Raw genomic sequence first — 21,088 nt, forward strand, 5'->3', positions numbered from 1 at the left:
TGAATACATATGAATGTAAAGATGGGAACAATAGACATTGAGGACCACTCACTCGATGGGGAAGGGAGGGAGAGGGGAACAGGTTGAAGAGCCCCTGTTGGGTACTATGCTTACTGCCTGGGTGATGGGATTTTTGGGACCTCAAGCCTCAGCATCATGTAATGTACCCATGTAACAAACCTGCACGTGTACTCTTTAATGTAATGCTGATGCTGATTATGCATTTGATTTCCCACCTTTCAACCCCACAACTTCTCAAGGAACCAGGAAACAGGGTACCATTTTAAAACTTCCAAATTTGTGAAAATAGAAATAAATTTATTACTTGAATTAAGTTCTTTTTCATCAGCTCATGTCACACCAAATCTTTCATGGGACAAAAAGAAACCCACGTTGGTTATGACTCATTGCCTCACCACATGTCTACTGACAATGAGCTCCCAGCCAGTGTCGGCCAGGACACAGTTGTTATTTTTCTTCTATTTTCTGCAATAACAACATCAAAAAAGGCAGTATGTTACCAAGAATAATAGTACCCAAAGTTATCCACATCCTACTCCCTGGAATCTGAGAGTATGCTATGATATCTGGCAAATGATTTTAAAAGTTACAGATAGAATCAAGTTTGCTAAGCAGTTGATCTTAACACAGAGTTTATCCTGGAGAATTATGGCAATTCTAATGTAATAATAAGAGTCCTTATAAGTGGAGAACCTTTCCCAGGTAAGTCTAAGAGAGAATTGAGGATAGAAGAATAGTCAGAGGTGCAACATGAGAAGGACATGATCTGCCACTGCCAGCCTTGAAAAAGCCCATGAGTCAATGAATGAGACAGCCTCAAGGAGCTAGAAAAGGCAAGGTCATGGATTTTTTTCCCTAGAAGCTCCAGAGAGGAAAGTAGTTCTGTAGATAACTTGATTTTTAGCCCAGTGAGACCAGTGTTGTATCCTGACCCACAGAACTCTAAGATAAAATTGTATTGTTTTAAGTCACAAAGCTTGTGGTAATTTGTTACAGGCACAATAGAAAACTAATATAAGCAGTGTGATAATGAGAAATTATAAATCACTCTCCCTCATATATATAGATGTAAGAAACTGAAAAATAAAAGTGGCAAATAGAATAGGAAGATGTATTTTTAAAGCATTTGGTCATGGCCAAATTGAACTCATTCCAGTTATTCATATATAATTTGACAATAGAAAATCTTCGAAAATCACTTACTGCAGAAACACATCAAATAAGAAAAAAAGACTTTGTTAATCTCAACAGAGGTATGCAGACAAAGCTTTTGATAAAAATCGATATATACAATTTTTTAAAGAAATTCATGGAGAAGTATGGCCATTTTAACAATATTGATTATTTCTATCCATGAGCATGAACTGTTTTTTCATTTGTTCATGTCGTCTCTGATTTCTTTCAGCAGTGTTTTGTAGTTCTTATTGTAAAGATCTTTCACCTACTTGGTTAGCTCTACTCTTGGTATGTTATGCTTTTTGTAGCATTGTAAATGAGATTGCATTCTTAATTTGGCTTTCAGCTTGAACATTATTGGTATATAGAAATGCTAGTAATGGTTCTACATTGATTTTGTATCTTGAAACTTTACTGAAGTTGTTAATGATTTCTAGGAGCCTTTTGCTGGAGTCTTTAGGATTTTATAAGTATAGAATCACGTTGTCTGTGAAGAGAGACAATTTGACTTCCTTCCTCTCTTTCTATTTGGATGCCTTTTATTTCTTTCTCTTGCCTGACTGCTCTGGCTAGAACTTCCAGTACTATGCTGAATAGAAGTGATGAGAATAATCATCCATGCCTTTTTCCAGTTCTCAGGGGGAATGCTGCCTGCTTTTGCCAGTTCAGTATGATGCTGGCTGTTGGCTGTGGGTTTGTCATAGATGGCTCTTATTATTTTGAGTTATGTTCCTTTGATGCCTAATTTGTTGAGGGATTTTTAACATGAAGGATGGTGAATTTTATCAAAAACCTTTTTCTGCATCTATTGAGATGTCATATGGTTTTTGCTTTTAATTCTGTTTATGTGGTGAATCATATTTATTGATTTGTATATGTTGAACCAATTTCACATCCCAGAAATAAACCCTACCAAAAATAATAAAATTAAACTTCTGAAAGCAATAAGAAAATGTATTTTAAATGTACAGTAAATAGTATAATTGGTATTGAGATATTAAATTTTTTAAATAATCAAGAACAGCCTGGGCGTGGTGGCTCACGCCTGTTATCCCAGCACTTTGGGAGGCTGAGATGGGCGGATCACGAGGTCAGGAGATTGAGACCATCCTGGCTAACACGGTGAAACCCCGTCTCTACTAAAAATACAAAAAATTAGCTGGGCGCAGTGGCAGATGCCTGTAGTCCCAGCTACTCGGGAGGCTGAGGAAGGAGAATGGTGTGAACCCGGGAGGCAGAGCTTGCAGTGAGCCAAGATCACGCCATTGCACTCCAGCCTGGGTGACAGAGTGAGACTCCGTCTCTCTCGAAAAAAAAAAAAAAGGCTTTATACCTCCACCCATCTTCTAGTAGTCCTTGAGCTGGAGTGTCTGGGTGGGACACTCAGTCCCTGCAGGATGCATCATCCTTCTCCCTCTTAGGCATTTTCCAGAATTGCTGCTCTGGGGACAATTGCCTCCACAAAGTTAACAGTACTTCATGGAGTTGCTTATCAATTTTCTTTCACGCAACCCCAGCCAAAATCAAATCAATCTACATCTGTGTGCAGGTCACCTACTGGGGATGCATTTTGTCCCAAGAGGTAGCCCCCTGGAGTAGGGAAACTTTCCCCTTTTTTATGGCACAGACTCTCTGGTCTCACCTACAGCCCTCTGCTTCCCTGAGGGCCGCCATGGAAGTAGTCACCTTATGTATGCAGCACCCCACATAGAGTGAGGACAGTGGCCAGGGAACCAAAGGCACTCAGGGGCACAGAGCCCAACACAAAGTCCCTCATGTGGGAGGTAAAGTGTTCATCATTTGGCCCTTGGGTAGTCAGATGGAACAGCCTGCCACACACCCATCTCCCAAATTACATGCACTAAATCTAGATACGACTGCCATTTACTCACAGTTTCTGGTATTTCTTTGGCATCTTTCCATATCGTTCAAATGGCCACCATCAGCCATTCAATTAGGGTGTGGTCGCCTTGCCCTGTGCTAACCACCTGCTCACCTGCAATCACTGACGGAGGGAGGGATGAGTCATAATGGAAGCCAACTTCTCCATTTCAGAGGCAGAGCAGACGATGCTGTTGGCTCCCTCATCCCAAAGATGAGGCATCGAGGCAGGTAGGGGTTCCCCCAAGCACTGCTGACACTGTTTATCTAATTCCCACAATATAATTGGGGTATAGGCACTGTAAGACATGTGCTCTGTCATGGTAGGGGGTCCCCAAGCCCAACCCTGGGGCCCCAATGACTGTTCCTGCTCTATTTTCTGATGGACCACTGGGCAAACTCGCAACTGATGTTCTTCTTCCTCAGTATCAGACTGAGCAGGAGTCTCTGACTGGGATGGTGGGCCCAAGCCCACACTAATGGCAGACTCTAATTCTCATTCCAAGCTGTGTGTCTGGGCCTCTGGGTTTCTGTTTGTGCCTGGAGGTCCCCTACCTTTGCTGCATCCTGCAGGGACTGAGTGTGCACTTACCGTAGTACAGTCAAAAACGCCCATTGAACTATGCCAGCAAAGGTATTGTCCTCTCATTGCTCTGTGCTTACAGGTACTTCAGTGCCTTCTCCATGCTCACAGGAGACCTGTCCACCACCACCCATGTTTCCACCAAGGCCCATCCTAGCAGCACAGCTACCATCAGGTACCACAACACATGCTGGGGCCACATGGCTGACCTGGGATCATTGAGGCCAAGGGCTCACTCATCTTGGGATCCTACTGACTATGCCAATTGACAGGTTCCAACCTGAGCTGGGTTCTGAAGGGAGCTGGTGGACACGTGGTGGGTAGCTGAAAGAACACTTGGATTGTAGGCAGTTGGAACGTGGCTTTATTCTCTCTCCTGTCCTACAGAGTCAGCAGTGCAGTTATATTACTCACAGACAGAGTGGCTCAAAGCCAGGTATGAGCTCACACAAACAGATTATAGTAAATGGTTACATAATGCATGGGGTTGTGCACCTGCGCTCCAAACCCGCTGTGTCATACCATACCGGATGTTTACCTTGGCCTACTCCTGACTGAAGCACAGCCACTTTCCTTACAATAATAAATAACTTTTGAAAAATGCATAGTTTCCCCTCACTGATGACATGTGGAGACACTGTAAAGGACAAAGGTAGCAAGTGTGATTTCCTGTGGTCAAGTTAGATACCTCCAGTGAATTCCAGATACCTTGTTTTGCCTTTTTCTATTTCTCTTGGGAGAAAAGTTGTTCCTCGTTATCACCATAAGGTGTCAGTAGAGTCAACTGTGCAGAAATTGGGAAAGGCCAATAATTCTAAAATCTTTCTCCTGCAAAGGGAAGAGAAAACATGTTTCCTACACAGTCTGAGTCATCCTATTTAGAGCATTCTACAACTTTCTTTCTCTCTTTTTTTTCCTCTCTTTCCTTTTTTTTTGTTTTTTCAAGGTCTTGCTCTGTCCACCAAGCTAGAGTGCAGTGGCAAGATCATGGCTCAATGAGCCTCAACCTCTCAGTTTCAGGTGATTTTCCTGCCTCAGCCTCTTGAGTAGCTGGGACTACAGGCATGTGTCACCACACCTGGCTAATTTTTTTTTTTTTTTTTTATAGAGATAGGGTTTGGTCATGGTCTCCAGGCTTGTCTCAAACTCCTGAACTCAAGCAATCTGCCCGCCTCAACCGCCCAAAGTGCTGGGGTTACAGGCAAGAGCCACTGTGCCTGGCCCAGACTTTCTTGAAGAAATGAAAGATTTCATGAGTATAATCAGGTTCCAAATCCCAGCGATGTATTGGGGTTGAAGTTAATTTTAGACATAGAGGGTGGAAGTGGAAGGGGAAGGAAAGTTGGACTATGGAAGTGAAAGCAAAGGGAAGTAAACACACAATAAAACTCGAGTTCACTGAGCATCTTTCATGTGTCAGCTATATTGGTAACTGCTTTACAAAGGTTATCTCAATACATCTTCTATCTCAAGGTAGGCATCATTCTCACTTGACTTGGGCTGAAGGGGCATTGCTACTTGAAAGAAAAGATATCAGTGGATGACATGGCAGTGAGGTTGAGCCTAGGATAAAAAGTGGCTTTGAGTGTTGCCTAAAGGGCTGGATGCCTTCTCTGATAAACAAGTCAAAGCTGAAGAGAGACCCGGGGGGAACTTTGAAGACCAGAAGTTTGACTGGGTAATCAGTAAGACTTCTGGTATCCAGAGTGCTGTGGTGGTGGTGAAGACATGGTGGCAGGGGGTGAGGAACAAAGCTGGAGTGTGAGTACAGTAGATGAATACACCAATTGTGGACTCTGAGTCATAGTCCTCTCCTGTGGCAGAAGGTGGCACCATGTGATTGATATGGGGGATGTGGATTTTCAAAAGAAGGACTCTCTCTCACACATACACATACACACACACAAACACACACACACACACACCTGTTTATCCCCTACATTCTTTTAGGCAGAAGAAGGTATGCTTTATTCTGTGTTCAAATAATAGTTAGTGCCCTGTATATATCCCTAATTTCACTGTCATCTCTGTTTCTCTTATTTGACATAGTGTCTGGTATCCAATAAGCGTCAATAAAAGTTGAATGTCCACAGTAGGTAAATAAATAAAAGAAATGGTGTGTGTCAGTGGGGGGTGCAATGGACAGGGAGAAGACATAATGAACGAGAGTTTGAAGATAAAGCTAAAATCAAAGAATCTGACAGTCCAGTTTCAGCCTGGAAAAGAAAACAGCAGAAAAGCTGAGTATCAGGATATCTGATACAGTGGGTATGACCCCTGCTACAGTGGGTAAAAGCAAGGGAAACATGACCAGTTCTTTCAATGAAATGGAGCTCATGTAAAATTGAAATACTTTTCTACGTGTGTGTGTGTACACACATGCTGAAACTTAATATTTATACACAAACAATTGGTCTTTCTTGCAATAAGAAAATAAGTATGAACTGGTCGATGCTTCATAAAAAATGAGTATTCCTGGTTAGCTTTTGTTTGCTCATTAGTTTTGTTTGAATATTTGATGGGGAGAAAATGGAGTTCCAATTTGGGTTTATGTCTGTCATTGTTGACTTATTCTGTGTTTAAGGGAAAAAACAACAAAACGAGTGTTAAAACAAAATATGCACTCAAAAATTTTATTTTGAAGCCAGCTACTTTCATATACCCTGAGACTTCATTATATGGGGCTTGCCTTTATGCACTAATGAGTTAAAATACATAGGATAAAACACTAGCACCTGTATAAAAAAGTCTGAGCACCACAACAAATCAGTTAACTCCTGTTGACAATTAAGGGGTACAATAAAAAGTTGTGTCCTTTGCTTCACTGTGATCCATTGAATGATCATTCTGTCTAGTTTTCTGGGAAACATTTTCTGGGAAATGTTTCTGGGAATGATCATTCTGCCTTGTTTTCTGGAAATTCAGACTATTTGGCTAATCTAGTAAATGGTAATTTACAGCCCCGTGCTTTTGCTGAAGTCAATGTCAGGCAAATCAAGAGATCCCCAATGAACACATATCTTAAATGACAGTGAAATAATGGTTTTTTTTAATGTTCATTACTTTAAAAGCTTACATTTAGGAAACTCAAGCTTTGCTTTTCTATAATGGTTAACTTTTCCATATTATCATAAGAATCAACTTTCTGATTAATATTTCTCCCTTTTTTCTTAAGAAGTCAATAGTTCTTCATATCCACAGTCATGAGTCATTTTTGAGGACATGCCAGAATTACCAATGTAACTGTGAGGCAGGAAAAGTACACTCTAGAAGAAACAAAATATGTTAGGTCTTCAGACTTCAATCAGGTTCAAGATAGATGTATATATGCCATTTTTCCAACTGTATACATAGAATTCTTAGCTAATCCAAGATAAGTAGAGCATATCACCAGGTTCTTCAAATAATTGCAATTTATCACCCTAGTATTCATTCTACACTCTATAATACAATTTTGGATAAATCAAGGCTTTTTAATTCAGTTAAATAAAGCCATAAGTCCATAGGGGTTTGATTCAACAATACATTTTTAATATAGCTTTAAAAAGGCAAACGAATTTTAAGATCACCAGGGGCAAATGCAGAGCATAAGACATTCACTGGATCCAGTTACGTGTGTAAATGCCCTTTACCAAGTCAATACTATTAAAGAGACTAGTGGTTGTGGCAGAAATTGTTTCTGCTTATAAGGGAGGCAAGCCAGGTTCTAGTGTCCTCAGCAAAGGCACAAACTCATAGCATAATGCCAGGCCAGTCATTTAACTTCCCAGAGTCTCATTCCCTTCGCTGACAAAATAGGAAGATTGAATCAGTTGATTTCTCATGATTAACTATTTTCATATCCAGTGAATTTTCAGCTTATCAGCTACTCAATTGCCATCTGCTTTTCTTCTCTGTCTTCCATCACAATGCAAATGCCCTCCCATGTGTATCTCATGACTGACTGATTGTTCCTTCTACCACTCTTGGTGACATACTCAACACAGTGCAGGGATAAGATACACTAGGCAAGGTTAAGTGAAGCCGGCCAGCACACTCACCCCAGGGAAGTCAGAGTAAGCCTGTTTCCACCGCAGCACAGCAGTGAGCACAGCTAGGCAGAATTCCAGCAGAGTGCAAATCAGCATCAGAGAGAGAGTTCCCTGAAAGTCAAGAAATAAAAGATTGATGTTGCTTAGGTCAGCTGAAGCCTTCATGCCTAGTTGAGAGGTGACCATAGAGATGAAGACCACCTCAACCATTAGAGAATGAAGAAAGGACACCATCAGGAAGATAAAACTGCTCCTCCCACACCTCACAATTGTCTTAATTCAACCCCTTAACTCATTTCCTTGAGAGGAGAAAGGGAGATGAATAGTAATTAAATCAACTAATCTACTTCATACACTTATTTCTTACTTCTTTGAGACATCCATAGTTCTGATGACATTGTTCACTCGGTAAGAAAGCAGAGTGGCGTAATAACTCCCAGGACTGAGAATCAGCAGCTCCGTTCCAGTCTCACCTTTACTGCTTAGTAGCTGTGTAAGCCTGGACAAGTCTCTCTCTTTCTCTAGCTCCTGTTTCCTCATGTATCAAACATGCATACTAACATTTCTTTCTCAGAAATTTGTAAGGATCAAGGAGGTTTTGACTGTGCAAGTCCTTTGTAAAATTTAGTATTGACATCCCTGTCTATGTATCTGAACCCCTTTGTATTTCTTCTTGATTTTTGTTGTTGTTTCTTTGTTGTTTTTTCTTTTTTTTCTTTTTTTTGGGGGTGTAACTGTAAGGCTTAGAAAAAAACAGTGAAGGTAGTAAACTGTCAGAGTTGCTAATCACCAACACCAACTCACAAGAATGAATTCTATCATTTCTGTCCTGAGACATTCTTTGTGCAGAACTGGCCATCTGATAATAAACGGAAATAATTTGATCACATGAAACTTTGGTTTGTGGTATTTATACACAGTTAAAGAGAAGATATAACTTTTTCCATTACTGGAAATTGTTCCAGCAAGCAAACTTGACAGAATCTCTCTTATTTCCAATGTAAAATCGTCCCATCATGAATTTATACTTTATCACTACCAAATTTCTCTGAAATTTCTCTTCAGAATTTTTCCCAAGGTGGAATTGGCTGTGCCAGGTATTAATCTGTGCCAATTGCTGTCAGCCTCATTTACTTGTACTTTTTCTCATTATACCATTACCTTGGGAGCAAGGCCCTCTTTATAATGAGTGCTATACAAACATGACTTTGACCAGACCTTTCTATCTGTCCATCTTCCAGCTGAGTTCTTGGCTTATCTTGTTTTTATGATTGCAGGACAACAAATATTCTGCAATTTCTTTATTCCTTTTTTTTTTTTTTTGAGACGGAGTCTTGCTCTGTCACCCAGGCTGGAGTGCAGTGGCGTGATCTCAGCTCACTGCAACCTCCGCCACCTCCCAGGCTCAGGTAATTCTCCGCCTCAGCCTCCCAAGTAGCTGGGATTACGGCTGCCCGCCACCACACCCAGCTAGTTTTTGTACTTTTAGTAGAGATGGGGTTTCACCGTCATGGCCAGGCTCATCTTGAACACCTGACCTCGTGATCCATGCACCAGGGCCTCCCAAAATGCTTGTATTATAGGGGTGAGCCACTGACCCAGCCGTCCCTTTACTCTTATGTTGCCTGTTTTTCTCTCAATGTGTTGCTGACCATGCACATGCCCCTTAATCTTTCAACTTCAGACATATTATTTCTATTAGCCAAACTTCATTATTTTTCTTCTTCCAAAGAGATAGAATTCTCCTGCAATCATTCTCAATTACACTCTCCATCTCCCTATATTTCTTATCTCCTGATTTAATATATCACACTTCTTTCAGCTATAACAAAAAGCAACAATAATGTTGCATTCTCACCTGATCAGTATTATTCATTATTGTGATCATTAGAAGAAGAAGCCCTTATCTTCTCATCCCATATTTCCTATCCTCTTTTTCTTAGTACTGAATCTGATGTCTTCTCAAACCAAATTAACTCCTTACCATGCACACATACTGTTTCCTTGTTGGCCTATTCTGATCTCCTGGGTCTTTCTGCTCTGTTTCCATTCTTAATTCACCACTCCATGTACCAAGATTCTCATTTTGATAAACTCATAATTTATGCCTCCAAAATTGGATTAGTTTGATAATTAAGAACCTCTACAAACAGTAAGTTTTAGTTTTTCATCATCAACCTTATTTAACATTTTCAATTCCACTCTATTAGTATGTAATCCCCTTAATCTCATCCCTGTAGTCCCCTTTGATTTACATAAACCTGGCTTTCCCCCAGATGCCCAAACCAGAACCAATAGAGAGATTTTCAAAAGAAGGAATAACAAGAAATCAAGGCTTTTGAATACCTCATAAGATTAGAACATCCCATCTAAAAATACTTACAGCCAGACTGGCTTTGGCTGTATAGCAGTCCGTGGTATAAAGTGAATCATGATAAAAGTAAGAAACATAACTTCTTGTTGGTATATTATTTTTGTCCAACTCACACTGCAGTGAGGCAGGATTTAAGGTGGCCTGTTTGACAGACAGGATAATGAAACCCACCAGGGCAGACAGAGCACTCAGAATGCTTCCAACCAGGCTGCTATGCACCTGAAAGAGAAATGTTGGGTAAGGATCATTGCTAATGACTCATGAATCTGTTATGCATCTTTGCCATTAAATTGTAAGTTATTCCCTTATCTGTCCCCTCAGGAGGTCTGGGATTGATCATTTATTGCTGTATGCCTCTCCAGTGTCCAGCAAAAATCTCTCAATCTCCAGGGTAATTCTTGGCTGAATGAATGACTATACGAACTGGTTCACCTTAAGCAGGACCTCAGTGGTGTGGTAGAGAATGTTACTCTCCTAAATTCTTTCCCCAGGACAGATAGCAGGGCTTTCATGAGGCTTTACCTGCAACATTACCAAGAGAGCGTGACCCAAAGTGAAGGTGGCAACGTACCAGATGCAGTTTCTCTCTCGCTCAACTCAAAAACCCCTGGCGGAAGCATCAGCCACATGGAAAAGATAGATCATGTATTAGCATGGTGCAAAAGTAATTGTGGTTTTTGCCATAAAACCACAATTATGTTTGCACCAACCTAATAGCTCACTCTCGCCTGCCCATTGCTTCTCTCAAAAGCACACCTCTCAAAGATGAGTGAGGGGGTGGTTCTGAGTCTCAGGCAGGCCCTGGAACATGGGCAGGCATATGATTGGCCACACTGAGTGCAGTATGGGGTGGCTGTGGGCAGAGGTCTAGGTGCAGGCCCAAGGATGGTGTAATGTGTGGGAGGCAGCGGGAAGTACAAGAAAAAGGTCTGAACTGGAGGTCAGAATATTGAAGTCACAGTACTAGACTTGCCTTGGTTTATTCCCTTGGGTAATCAGTTCCTTGATTTTATTTCCCACTCTGGTTCTCATTTATACATTTATGAAGTGAAGGGAATAGATAAACTAACCTCAGAAGTGACTTCTTTTGTACTCCAACTCACACAGAAAAGAGAATTGAGCTAAGAGTACTCTGAGAGCTATAGTTACAGGTAGGTAGGCTCCAGGGCACACCTCACAGCCATACAGTAGAATGTTACTTAATCCCACATGGGCACTTCTTCTTTTAGGAACTCACCAGTTGATACTCTGGGACCCCAATTTCCCAACATAATGACTGAAGTGTACACTCCTGGGCCTCCTAGTAGCCAGTAGTATTCTTGATGCCTAGAGTCTATATTTCTTAGAATAAGCTAGATTTGTCTTGAGATGGCACTCTTCTTCAATCTCAAAAAGGGCTGGTGCAATGTGTGACAAGAGTAGAACTCGCTAAAGCCTCGATGTCTCTGGTAAGTCTGAGCCCACCCCGAGACCACATCCTGCATCCTTGAGCTTCCTGCATGTTCACTGTGGGATTGTTCTCTGGAGTAACAGGCCCATATATTTCCTCCTAAAAGTTTGAAAGCACTACCCTTGTGCCAGGCTACTCAGTATGGTTGCCAATAGCCACATAGACTATCTATATTTAAAGTAAAATTAAGAGAAATTTTTATTCAGTTGCACTATATTTCACATCATCGATAGCCACATGTGACTGCCATATTGTACAGTACAGCTGTAGTGCATTTCCATCATCATAGAAAGTTACATTTCATTTCTATCATCATAGAAAGTTACATTTCATTTCCATCCTCAAAGAAAGTTAAATTAAACAGCACAGATCTAGTTAGTAGTTCCGAGTCTAACTGAGGGTTCCAAATAATAATCTCTAAATACCGATGAGAAAAAGAATTGGCATTTTTCTGGATGCCGTTTCTCACTTCCTTGCTGGCTTTGGGAGATTTTTGTAGCCAGAGCTTCCAAATTGAGTCTCGGTGCAATTGCATGGTATGACATTCTCTCACATAATCTCCAACATCAACCCCTTGAGAGATAATGGATTGAGCGAAGACTTAATGAAACTTTAAAGACAAGAGAAGATTCTCCCTATAATCCAGGCTTTGTCTCCCTGCCACTTCCAACTCTAGTTTTTGCTGGAATAAGGGATAAAGACGGGTAAAGCTTTGTTTTTTGTTGTTGTTGTTTTGTTTTTTTGTTAGCCAATACAAATGACTAAGGACAACTTTTTAGGGTGCAAGAATTTATACTCAAACAAAATAAAAGTATTATACTTCTGGTGAGATAGATGAAAGGATACAGTCAGCCAGCACTACCCAAAACTATTGAAGTCCTCAAGGAAAAGGAAAATCTGAGAAAGTCTAAAGGAACCTGAGGAGACATCAGGCCTAAATGTAATGTAGTATACTGTAGTAGCCTCTGTGTCTACTTTGGATACCTCACATGAACAACACTTTGACTCATTTTTTTTTCAAGGGTTGTAACACCTGGGCTTAAAGAATGGACCCCAACCAATAGACCGCTTTATAACACTGTCAGCTTCCTTGCCACTGAAAACCTGAATTTGAAGGCCAGTTATCACCGAAAGAACCTCATAAACAGGCACAATTTCTCTGTGATACATTCTTCGGCATGGGCAGAGGGAATATTATAATCCCCTGAATGCAGACTTTGATGTAGGGTACAATAATTGGAGAAATGTTCTCTGAACAAGGATACAGAGGATCCAGGCCCAGCTCCTAATTCTAACAACAACCAACTGCTCTGGAACTGAGTTTTCAACTTTTCAAAGTAGAAAGACTAGCCTTAAAGAGTTCTGTCTAAGTTTTATTTTGATCCATTGGGTTGTGGGTTATAGCTCTCTTACTCACCAAAAGCTTGGTTAACCTTTTCTCTGTGGCGATTGATAGAGAGCCAGAGATGATAAACTAAGATAAAAGAGAAAATGGTCAGGTCAGATTCCATGTACAGAGTACCTTCGACGTCACTATCACAATGTTTATAGACAACTCTCATGGGAAAATCCCTGAGAAACCAGTGATCAATGAGGTAAGTTCCATTTAAATACATAGATTTGTCCCTTTGTCCATATAACATTCAGATAACATCAGAAAAAAAAAAGATAGCAGAAATATATCCTAATAAACAAAAAATATCCCACTAAACAAAAAAAGACCTTAAAAGCCAGGAAATAATTTTTGTTTTTTTAATAAAATGAGACAGTTTTGGTGTAAGATGTTCTCTAGGGAAGGACATAAAAGCAATGGTTAAAAAAAAAAGTAGTAATTTTACAGAGGAGAAATCTGGAAAATACTACCCCAACCACATAATCAAGGTTAATTGTGTCAGTGACATTATGTTGGTAGCATGACCCTTGATACGACTTGATGAAAATGGTGCTTTACCTCATCATCACCACCCAAAAATTCATCACCATACTCTAAACATCAAAAAAAAAAATCAGACAAACCCAAATTTAGGAACATTCTATAAAAATCTCAGCCAGCGCTACCCAAAACTATCAAAGTTCTCAAGGAAAAGGAAAATCTTAGACAGCCTAGAGGACCCTGAGGAGACATCATGACAAAATGTAATGTAGTGTAATGTAGTAGCTTGGCATGGATCTTGGAACAGAAAAAGGTCATTTGGGGAAAACCAATGAAATCCAAATCCAAGTGTAACTTTAGTTAATAAGACAAGAAAAATGGACAAGATACACAAAAAGGTGGACTTCTTGGTGCATCAAATACACAAATGTAAGAAAAACAAATAGCTACTGAATTGCAGGAAGTTGAAGGAAAAAACATCTATGAAAGGGAAACTTACCTATGAGAAAGCCCCCATCTTAGAGAAAGCAGTTCTCTGAGGAAAGGACTACTAAGTCCTTTTGAAACTCCAGACTTGCAGCTATTTCAGAGGAATTTCCTGTCAATCACTGGGCATAGATATCTGCTCAGCCTTACCTGGGAATCAGTCAATGCAGTAAAAGTATTTTCAAAATGCTCAGAGGTGTAAGTTCTCCTTCCTCCATGATCCCCACAAGCATGGGGGGGATAACAGTGTGGTTTCTCTGTGAGTGTGTGATGTCTTCCATTTATGCTCTTTTTTTTTTTTGTATAAAATGTTCCTTCCCAACTTTATCCTAATTCATGGATTTTTTTTTCGCCTAAACCTGGAGAGAAGTCACTAGCTTCATCATAGCTCAAGATGATAATGTGAAGAATAAGATGATCTTCAAAAGAAATGTTTATTTGAGTCTGATAAGAAATTGATCTAAAATCAAGCAACCCCTGTCATCCTACCCGACAGGAGAACAAGATTCACCGTTGACTCCTTGCTCCTGGCAGATCAAACATAGCAAGCTGGCAGGTGGGAAGTCTAAGCTATTGGCATCTTCCTCCCCTCTTTGCCCCATCCTGCCCTCCTCAGAAACTCTACTCACAAAAAAGGGTCCTATGAATGGGTAAGCAGAGTTCAACAGTGTAGAAGTCACTTGGGTAAAATTTGGAGAGAAGGAAGCAGATGCCAAAATGATCCCCAAGCTCAATACCATCATGCCACACAAGATCTGGATAGTCTGTGGGAAGAGAAAGTGAGATTGAGGATGAAAACCAGCATTTGTAAAGACAGGGCCTTTTTGCCGCTCCCATGGCACTAATGCATTATCGCCTTCTGCAAGATCCTAATGAGGATACAAACCCTGTGGAAACTCTGGAGTGAGAAATATGAAAAGACATCCTGGAGGGTGTGCAGCTCTGCCACAGAAGCCACAGTCTCAGGTGTCTGGCAGGTGCTCAGGAAGGCTTCTGCATTTCTGCCTCTCAGGCCCTGGTCTGCTCATGAGACTTGCTTCCAGCTCACAGCAAGTGCTGAGATTTACTTTCCCAGCTCTCAGGACCTCTAAGTCCATGACTAGTTAACTCTCTTTCTATCTCTCTGAAAACAGGGGACATCTGAAAGCCCCCACATTCTCTGCAGTATTGGCAGTGCAGAAGGCCCTCCCCTCATCTCCCAGACTCCACTGGACATGGAGTTTGCCCCTTTGGTCACTTCCTCGGAAACTGCAGTTCACAACCCTATAGCTGAAGCTCTGGAAGCTCTTTTATTTTTAGCTTTTATTTTAAGTTCAAGGGTACAACTGCATGTCTGTTACATAGATAAACTTGTGTCATGGGGGTTTGCTGTACAGATTATTTCATCACCCAGGTATTAAGCCTAGTATCCATTAGTTATTTTTCCTGATCCTCTCTCTCCTCCCACCCTCCACCCTCTGAAAGGCCTCAGTGTGCATTGTTCTGTTCTACGTGTCCATGTGTTCTCATCATTTAGAGGCCATCCCCCTTAGCAGACTAACACAGGGACAGAAACCAAATACTGCATGTTCTCATGTATAACTGAAGCTCTGTCTTAGGAGGTAGTTTTCCTTCCTGACATCCACCTCAGAGATTCACAGCTCTATTATCATTTACCAAAAAGTTTTCTAGACCTTATGTCACATGAGCCTCATAGAAACCCATGTGATTGTACATGAGGCAAGGAAACCAGTCCCACCAGGTCCTGAAATCCAGTCAAACAGAGTGCCTCACCTCAGATCACATAAGTGCAGAGGCAATTCTAGAAACCAAAACTCTGTGTTTCCCTCCCAATCCAAGATAGATCCCTTCTTTCTCTCCTCCCTTCATGCAATACAGCTTCTTTAATAAATTCTGGGTGAGAGGAGAAACAGACAAACAAAAGGTGAATATCATTTCCATTCTCAAAAACGTTAGGAGAAAAGAGGAAAAGGAGTTGTATATTTCCTCTAATTTGCAGTGAGGGAAAAATTATTTGCAAAAAGTCAGTTTGGATTATTAAGCATGCAGTTGTGGAATATATACACATACACACAATATGTCATTATTTACCACCATTACTTTTGTAAAAGAAAATATAGAAAAGCACTGTATTGTAAAAATACAAAGACAACAATAGAAAATCAATTCCTCATATTCAGAATAAGGGAAAATATATTTTTAAGACAACCTCTTGTGGAAAAGTTCTGGGACAGTTTTCTCCAAGTGGCTTCTACCCTAAAGTCCCTCTAGCAAAATTTTAGGGTCTCCACACTCACGACAGATGTCCAGTCCCAAGACATATATCATCTCTTGGCACTTCCCCCAACCCCTCTCCAACACGTTCTGAATTAGATTTACCCCAATAACTTTGATTTCTGCGTGTAGATGTTTCTTCAGGCTATCCTGCCCCTGGTTGGTGGGTTCGGGTTTCTCTGCTTGGGAGAAGTTGATGACATTTGATGGGAGCACTATGATGGTCTCATTGGGAACAGGTTGTGATGTCATGATGGTGTTGCCAACTATGTAAGAAAAAATAGATTTAGCTCTTAAAAAGTACAGAGCTCCCAGGTTCTGACTCCAAAAACAGTAACTCAGTCTTTGCCAATTAGTCTAGGCTTGGCCTGTCCATTAGAGAAAGAAACTGATAGTATGGAACAGTGAAAACCACACAATCTTGGTTTCATGAGGATTTTTCCATAATGTTTGACACAGTCCATTATAGATAATAAACACATCACAGGGTGGCAGCAACATGAATCTTGAGAGGTCTCAATGTCCAGAGGCAAATGGTCACACAAAATTTGCAATATGCAACAACCTCCCTTTCCTCTAGTCCTACTGACAACAACTGTATTGCCATATATTTGATGAATTTTCAGACTAATAAATGAACTCTGCTTACTTATTTCTTGTTTAATAATACTATTTATTAGCACTCAGATATGTTTATCATATTTTACCAGACACATTCTTAATTTTTACCCTGCAGTGCTTTTAATCCTTACAACAGCTCTGCATGTTAGTAAGTTAGTAAAAACATGTAATAAATAAGAAAATGCAAAATAAAGTTTAAGTTATGAATGCAAATAATATACCTATTGCATATATGTGTGGCCCAGAGTTAATGCTGAAGAAATATTTGCAGTTACCCTTATTGTTCACCCTGGTTCACACAGCCGGGAAGCTGTAAAACCAGTCTTGGATCTCAGCTTTCCTGGAGTCTGAAGCCTTTGCATAAATCTCTAGATCATTCTACCTCTTCCTAATTTCCCACCTGGCATTGCCAGCCTGTGTCTGAGTTTACTCAGGCTGGAGAAACAGCTGCATGCAGTGGTATGAGAACAAGTCTTGGACTCATAACACATAGGCTCGCGTCGTTGGTCCTCCCCACTTTTTAGCATAAAGACCAAGTAGGTTGTGGTATTTGTTGCTAAGCTCAGCTTGGATCCCTTTTCACGGCACCATTCTCAAAGCACAGACCGCCCAGTTTACAAATGGTCTAAACACATTTGAAGAGACAAGAGCTCTGCTCCCATTAATTACACAACCTTAGGTAAGTGACTCACTGAGTTTATGCAATTAGAATACAGCGGACACAGAGTTAAAAACAGATACTCCTTCCATTTGCCCACTCTATTTCCAAAAGGCCCTAGTGTCTCTTAACTGCTGTCAAGGAGTTTCAAGTTAAATTACTCCTCTAATGAGGTCACGGCAAGGGAATAGTGAGATGAGAAAAGTCTTCCAGCATTACCTACCTGTGCCCGTTGGTTCCAGCTGAGTCCTCAGAAGCTCCAAAGAGGTTTTAACTCTGGTTTCTCAGTCCCATCAACGGTTTCTACTTACCTTCATCTTCTGAAAGTCATCAGCCCTTCCTTATTCCAGTGTTTACAGCTATACAGGATGTGATACTCACAGATTGTAGATTTGTGAAATGTTCCTGCACTTCCTTTTCTGTAAACTTCTAGCAACTTCAGTAAAACCATGAAAAGAGCCAACTAATATTTGTGAGAGTTCAGGAGTCATGGAGCCTTATGTGTGAATTGCCACTTCGAGACATACAAGTTTCCTGTTGTTAGGCAAGTCTGTTCTTGAAGCTTCAGTTTTCTAATCTGTTAAATAGAGGAGCAATACCAACACTGGAGAATTGTCATAAAGATGAGCAAAAATATTTATAAAAAGCCTATGCTGCTTTGAAGCTTTCAATAACATGTAACTAATAACAGTAATAGTGCTAGTAATCATAATATAGAGAAAGAACAATATTCCACTGTCTATAACTAACCATAATAATAATAATAGCAATAATGACTACACTGCTTTAAAGGAACATTCATTAATATATAGCTAATAGTAATATAGAACATAAAAAAACTTTTAAAAAATTGTTTTTTATATATATAGTTTGTTTGTTTGTTTTGTTTTATCTTGCTTTTCTAATTCCCCAAGTCTTGGCAGGCTGAAAGCAACCTTTCAATACTGATTGCCCAACTGCTGCCTACCCTCAAGTCATCTTCCTCCTCTGGCTGCTCTTTTTCTCTAACAACAGATCTTTGCCCTCCAGAAAGGTTGGGCCCCTCCAGGGAAGCATTGAAATATTGAAACAGAGAAGGAACAAATGGGAAAGATTCAGCAGGACCTAAATGAATTCAGTAAACTCATATGCAGGCTGGTTTTGTGAGGACAGAGGCACTGTGCCCCTTCAAAACCTTGGGTGGCATTCTTTGGAAGCTGACTTCAATGTATCAGGCAAGGAAACCAGAGCCAGTCAGGGCAATGGCAAAGCCCCACCCTGCAAGCTTCCTTCCTCCTTTCCTTGGGGGAGCTTCCAGAATGAACCCAGAAACACAACCTGAACCATCACCGTCACCACAGAGGGCCATGGATTCTGCACTTAATTCCACACATTAACTCTCCTGTTGAAGAAAGGAGTTAAGAAGCACCATTTAGAAGGCTGGATTAGTTCTCAGCGTCTGAATGACACAGACATTATGAAATGTAATTGGCTTGTCTTAAGTTCTAACAATAAATCTGAGAGGAGGAATGGACTCACACAGAAAGCCTGGGGAGAGGGGCAGAATCACCTCCAACCTTGCTCACCCAAGCTCCTGGCGCCCCTTCCTCTTTCGCAGAGTGCCGTCTGTGTTTCCAGTGGGTGCCCTGCATCTTTGTCACCCTCACAGCATCTGTGAAACAGTGGAATGCAGCTCTCCTCCTGAGCTTTGATTAAAAAGGAGCCCAGTCTCTTTGGTCTCTTCAGGAGCAATCACACCCCCTTTCCCTTCAGGGGAATGTGCTAATAAACCAGTTAAAGTTGCCTACCTAAGCAAAGGCTCCCTCTCCAGTCAGTTTTCCTCTCTGTGCTATTTAATTTAAAATCATTTCTGAGTTTTAAGGATTATGTGAGACAACACGTGTAAGGTTCCTAGCACAGAACCCTTCGGAATGATGGCCTAAAAGCGGTCTGTTGACTGTCTTCCTCACCCCCCAATCCTCCCCCCTCTTTTTTTTTCCATTTTGGCTTTAGTAAGCTTAAAACAATTCTCCTTTCTCTTGTCTTTCAGCTTACACTCATTCAGCCTTTTACATTCCCAGTTTTTTCCAGAGTCTGAATTCTACCAACCTAACTACAAGGGAGAAGACTGGTATATCAATAACACGTTCTGATTAATGATCTGGGACAGGTTTCTCAAAAAAGCTACTAATGCCACTTTGGACTGGGTAATTCTTTACAGTAGGTGGCTATCCTGTGCACTGTAGGATGCTTAGCAGACTCCCTGGCCTATGCCAGCACAATCCCACCCTATGTGTAACAACCAGAAACAGTATCTGATATTGTCAAATGTCTCCTGATGGAGGGAGAACAAAATCCCCTCACATTCATGTTGAGAGCTACTGACCTAGGAGCAAAAGGGTTTTTGTGTGTTCTGTGTAAAGGCAGGTGTGCTAGAAACAGAACAATATTTTCTTTAAATCAATTTCTCAACTTTTATTTTTAAAATTTTAAATTGTGGTACAAAACACATATAATTCATTATTTTAACCACTTTTTAGTGTACAGACCACTAGTATTAATTTTGTTCACATTGTTGTGTAACAGACCTCTAGAACTTTTTCATCTTGCAGAACTGAAACTCTATACCCATTGAACAACCACCCCTTTCCTTCCTATTCCTAGCCCCTAGTAACCACCATCCTACTTTCTGTTCCATGTTTGCTCTGTCTCTAAGGGAGGAGACCACCCCTCATATTGTCTTATGCACAGTTTCTGCCCCCAAAGAAAGAAGAAGTAAAAACTAAAAGGCAGAAATGAAATCTACAGGCAGACAGCCCTGTGCTGCACCTTGGGCCTCGTTAAAGATTGACCCCTGACCTAACCGGTTATGTTATCTATAGATTCCAGACATTGTATGGAAAAGCACTGTGAAAATCCCTTTCCTGTTCTGTTCTGTTCTGATTACTGGTGCATGCAGCCCCCAGTCACATACCCCCTGCTTGCTCAATTGATCAAGACCCTCTCATGGGGACCCCCTTAGAGTTGTAGGCCCTTAAAAGGGACAGGAATTGCTCACTTGGGGAGCTTGGTTTTTAGAGATGTGAGTCTTGCCAAAGCTCCTGGCCGAATAAAGCCCTTCCTTCTTTAACTCGGTGTCTGAGGGGTTTTGTCTGTGGCTTGTCCTGCTACATTTCTTGGTTCCCTGACCAGGAAACAAGGTGATTAATGGATGGTCGAGACAGCTCCTTAGGTGGCTTAGGCCTGCCCTGTGGAGCATACCTGAGGGGGACTCCAGCCAGCTTGAGTGAAGCAGATCCTGAGAGCACTCCCAGGTAGGCAATTGCCCCAGTGGAATGCCTCATCAGAGCAGTGCACAGCAGGCCCCTGTGGAGGATCAATGCAGTGGCTGAACACCATGAAGGAACTGGCACTTGGAGTCCGGACATCTAAAACTTGGTAAGACTGGTCTTTGGAACTTGCCCACTCCATTTAAGTGGAAGCATGGCCTGATCACCCATGGTGTGCCTGTACCAGCACTTTGGTTTTTGATTTTGACTTGACTTGGATTGCTTGATACTTTGGTTTTGGTTTTGACCCGGCTTGGATTTCCTGACACTCTGATTTTGGTTTTGATTCTGGTTTGGTGTAAACTGCAAAAGTGTGTGTGTGCCCTTTTTACCCATTTTTGTTTTGCAGTGT

At 41.0% G+C, this 21,088-nt stretch overlaps 1 protein-coding gene across 13 annotated transcripts, besides 2 other annotated features; it reads right to left on the reverse strand.

The window, feature by feature from the left end:
* Positions 3,087-4,286: an enhancer, noted in NCBI's record as "P300/CBP strongly-dependent group 1 enhancer chr11:59935886-59937085 (GRCh37/hg19 assembly coordinates)". NCBI's record gives its function as "activates an origin of replication core promoter dependent on BRD2, BRD4, P300/CBP, MED14 and CDK7 cofactors, with strong dependence on P300/CBP, by STARR-seq in HCT116 cells {active_cell/tissue: HCT116}" and the evidence as "EXISTENCE:reporter gene assay evidence [ECO:0000049][PMID:35650434]".
* On the reverse strand, positions 6,281-19,340 carry MS4A6A (membrane spanning 4-domains A6A). 13 transcript variants are annotated; one of them, NM_152852.3, is made up of 8 exons: positions 19,216-19,340; positions 17,652-18,005; positions 16,255-16,415; positions 14,505-14,639; positions 12,934-12,990; positions 10,076-10,285; positions 7,702-7,803; positions 6,281-6,927 (listed from the first exon to the last, which is right to left on the reverse strand). In NM_152852.3, the coding sequence occupies exons 3-8, from the start codon at positions 16,399-16,401 to the stop codon at positions 6,832-6,834; spliced, it is 747 nt and encodes a 248-aa protein (NP_690591.1). In that variant the 5' UTR covers positions 16,402-16,415; positions 17,652-18,005; positions 19,216-19,340; the 3' UTR covers positions 6,281-6,831. The 13 variants fall into 13 exon arrangements, with proteins under 13 accessions (NP_690591.1, XP_005274234.1, XP_024304420.1 ...); XM_005274177.4 differs by lacking the exon at positions 19,216-19,340 and adding an exon at positions 18,994-19,121 and having other exon boundaries at positions 17,810-18,005; XM_024448652.2 differs by lacking the exon at positions 19,216-19,340 and adding an exon at positions 18,947-19,121 and having other exon boundaries at positions 17,810-18,005.
* Positions 19,984-20,143: an enhancer, noted in NCBI's record as "active region_4763". NCBI's record gives its function as "activates an Ori minimal core promoter by ATAC-STARR-seq in GM12878 lymphoblastoid cells {active_cell/tissue: GM12878}" and the evidence as "EXISTENCE:reporter gene assay evidence [ECO:0000049][PMID:35858748]".

Source organism: Homo sapiens, chromosome 11 (genome assembly GCF_000001405.40).
Source record: "Homo sapiens chromosome 11, GRCh38.p14 Primary Assembly".
In the NCBI taxonomy this organism is placed as follows: Eukaryota; Metazoa; Chordata; class Mammalia; order Primates; family Hominidae; genus Homo; species Homo sapiens.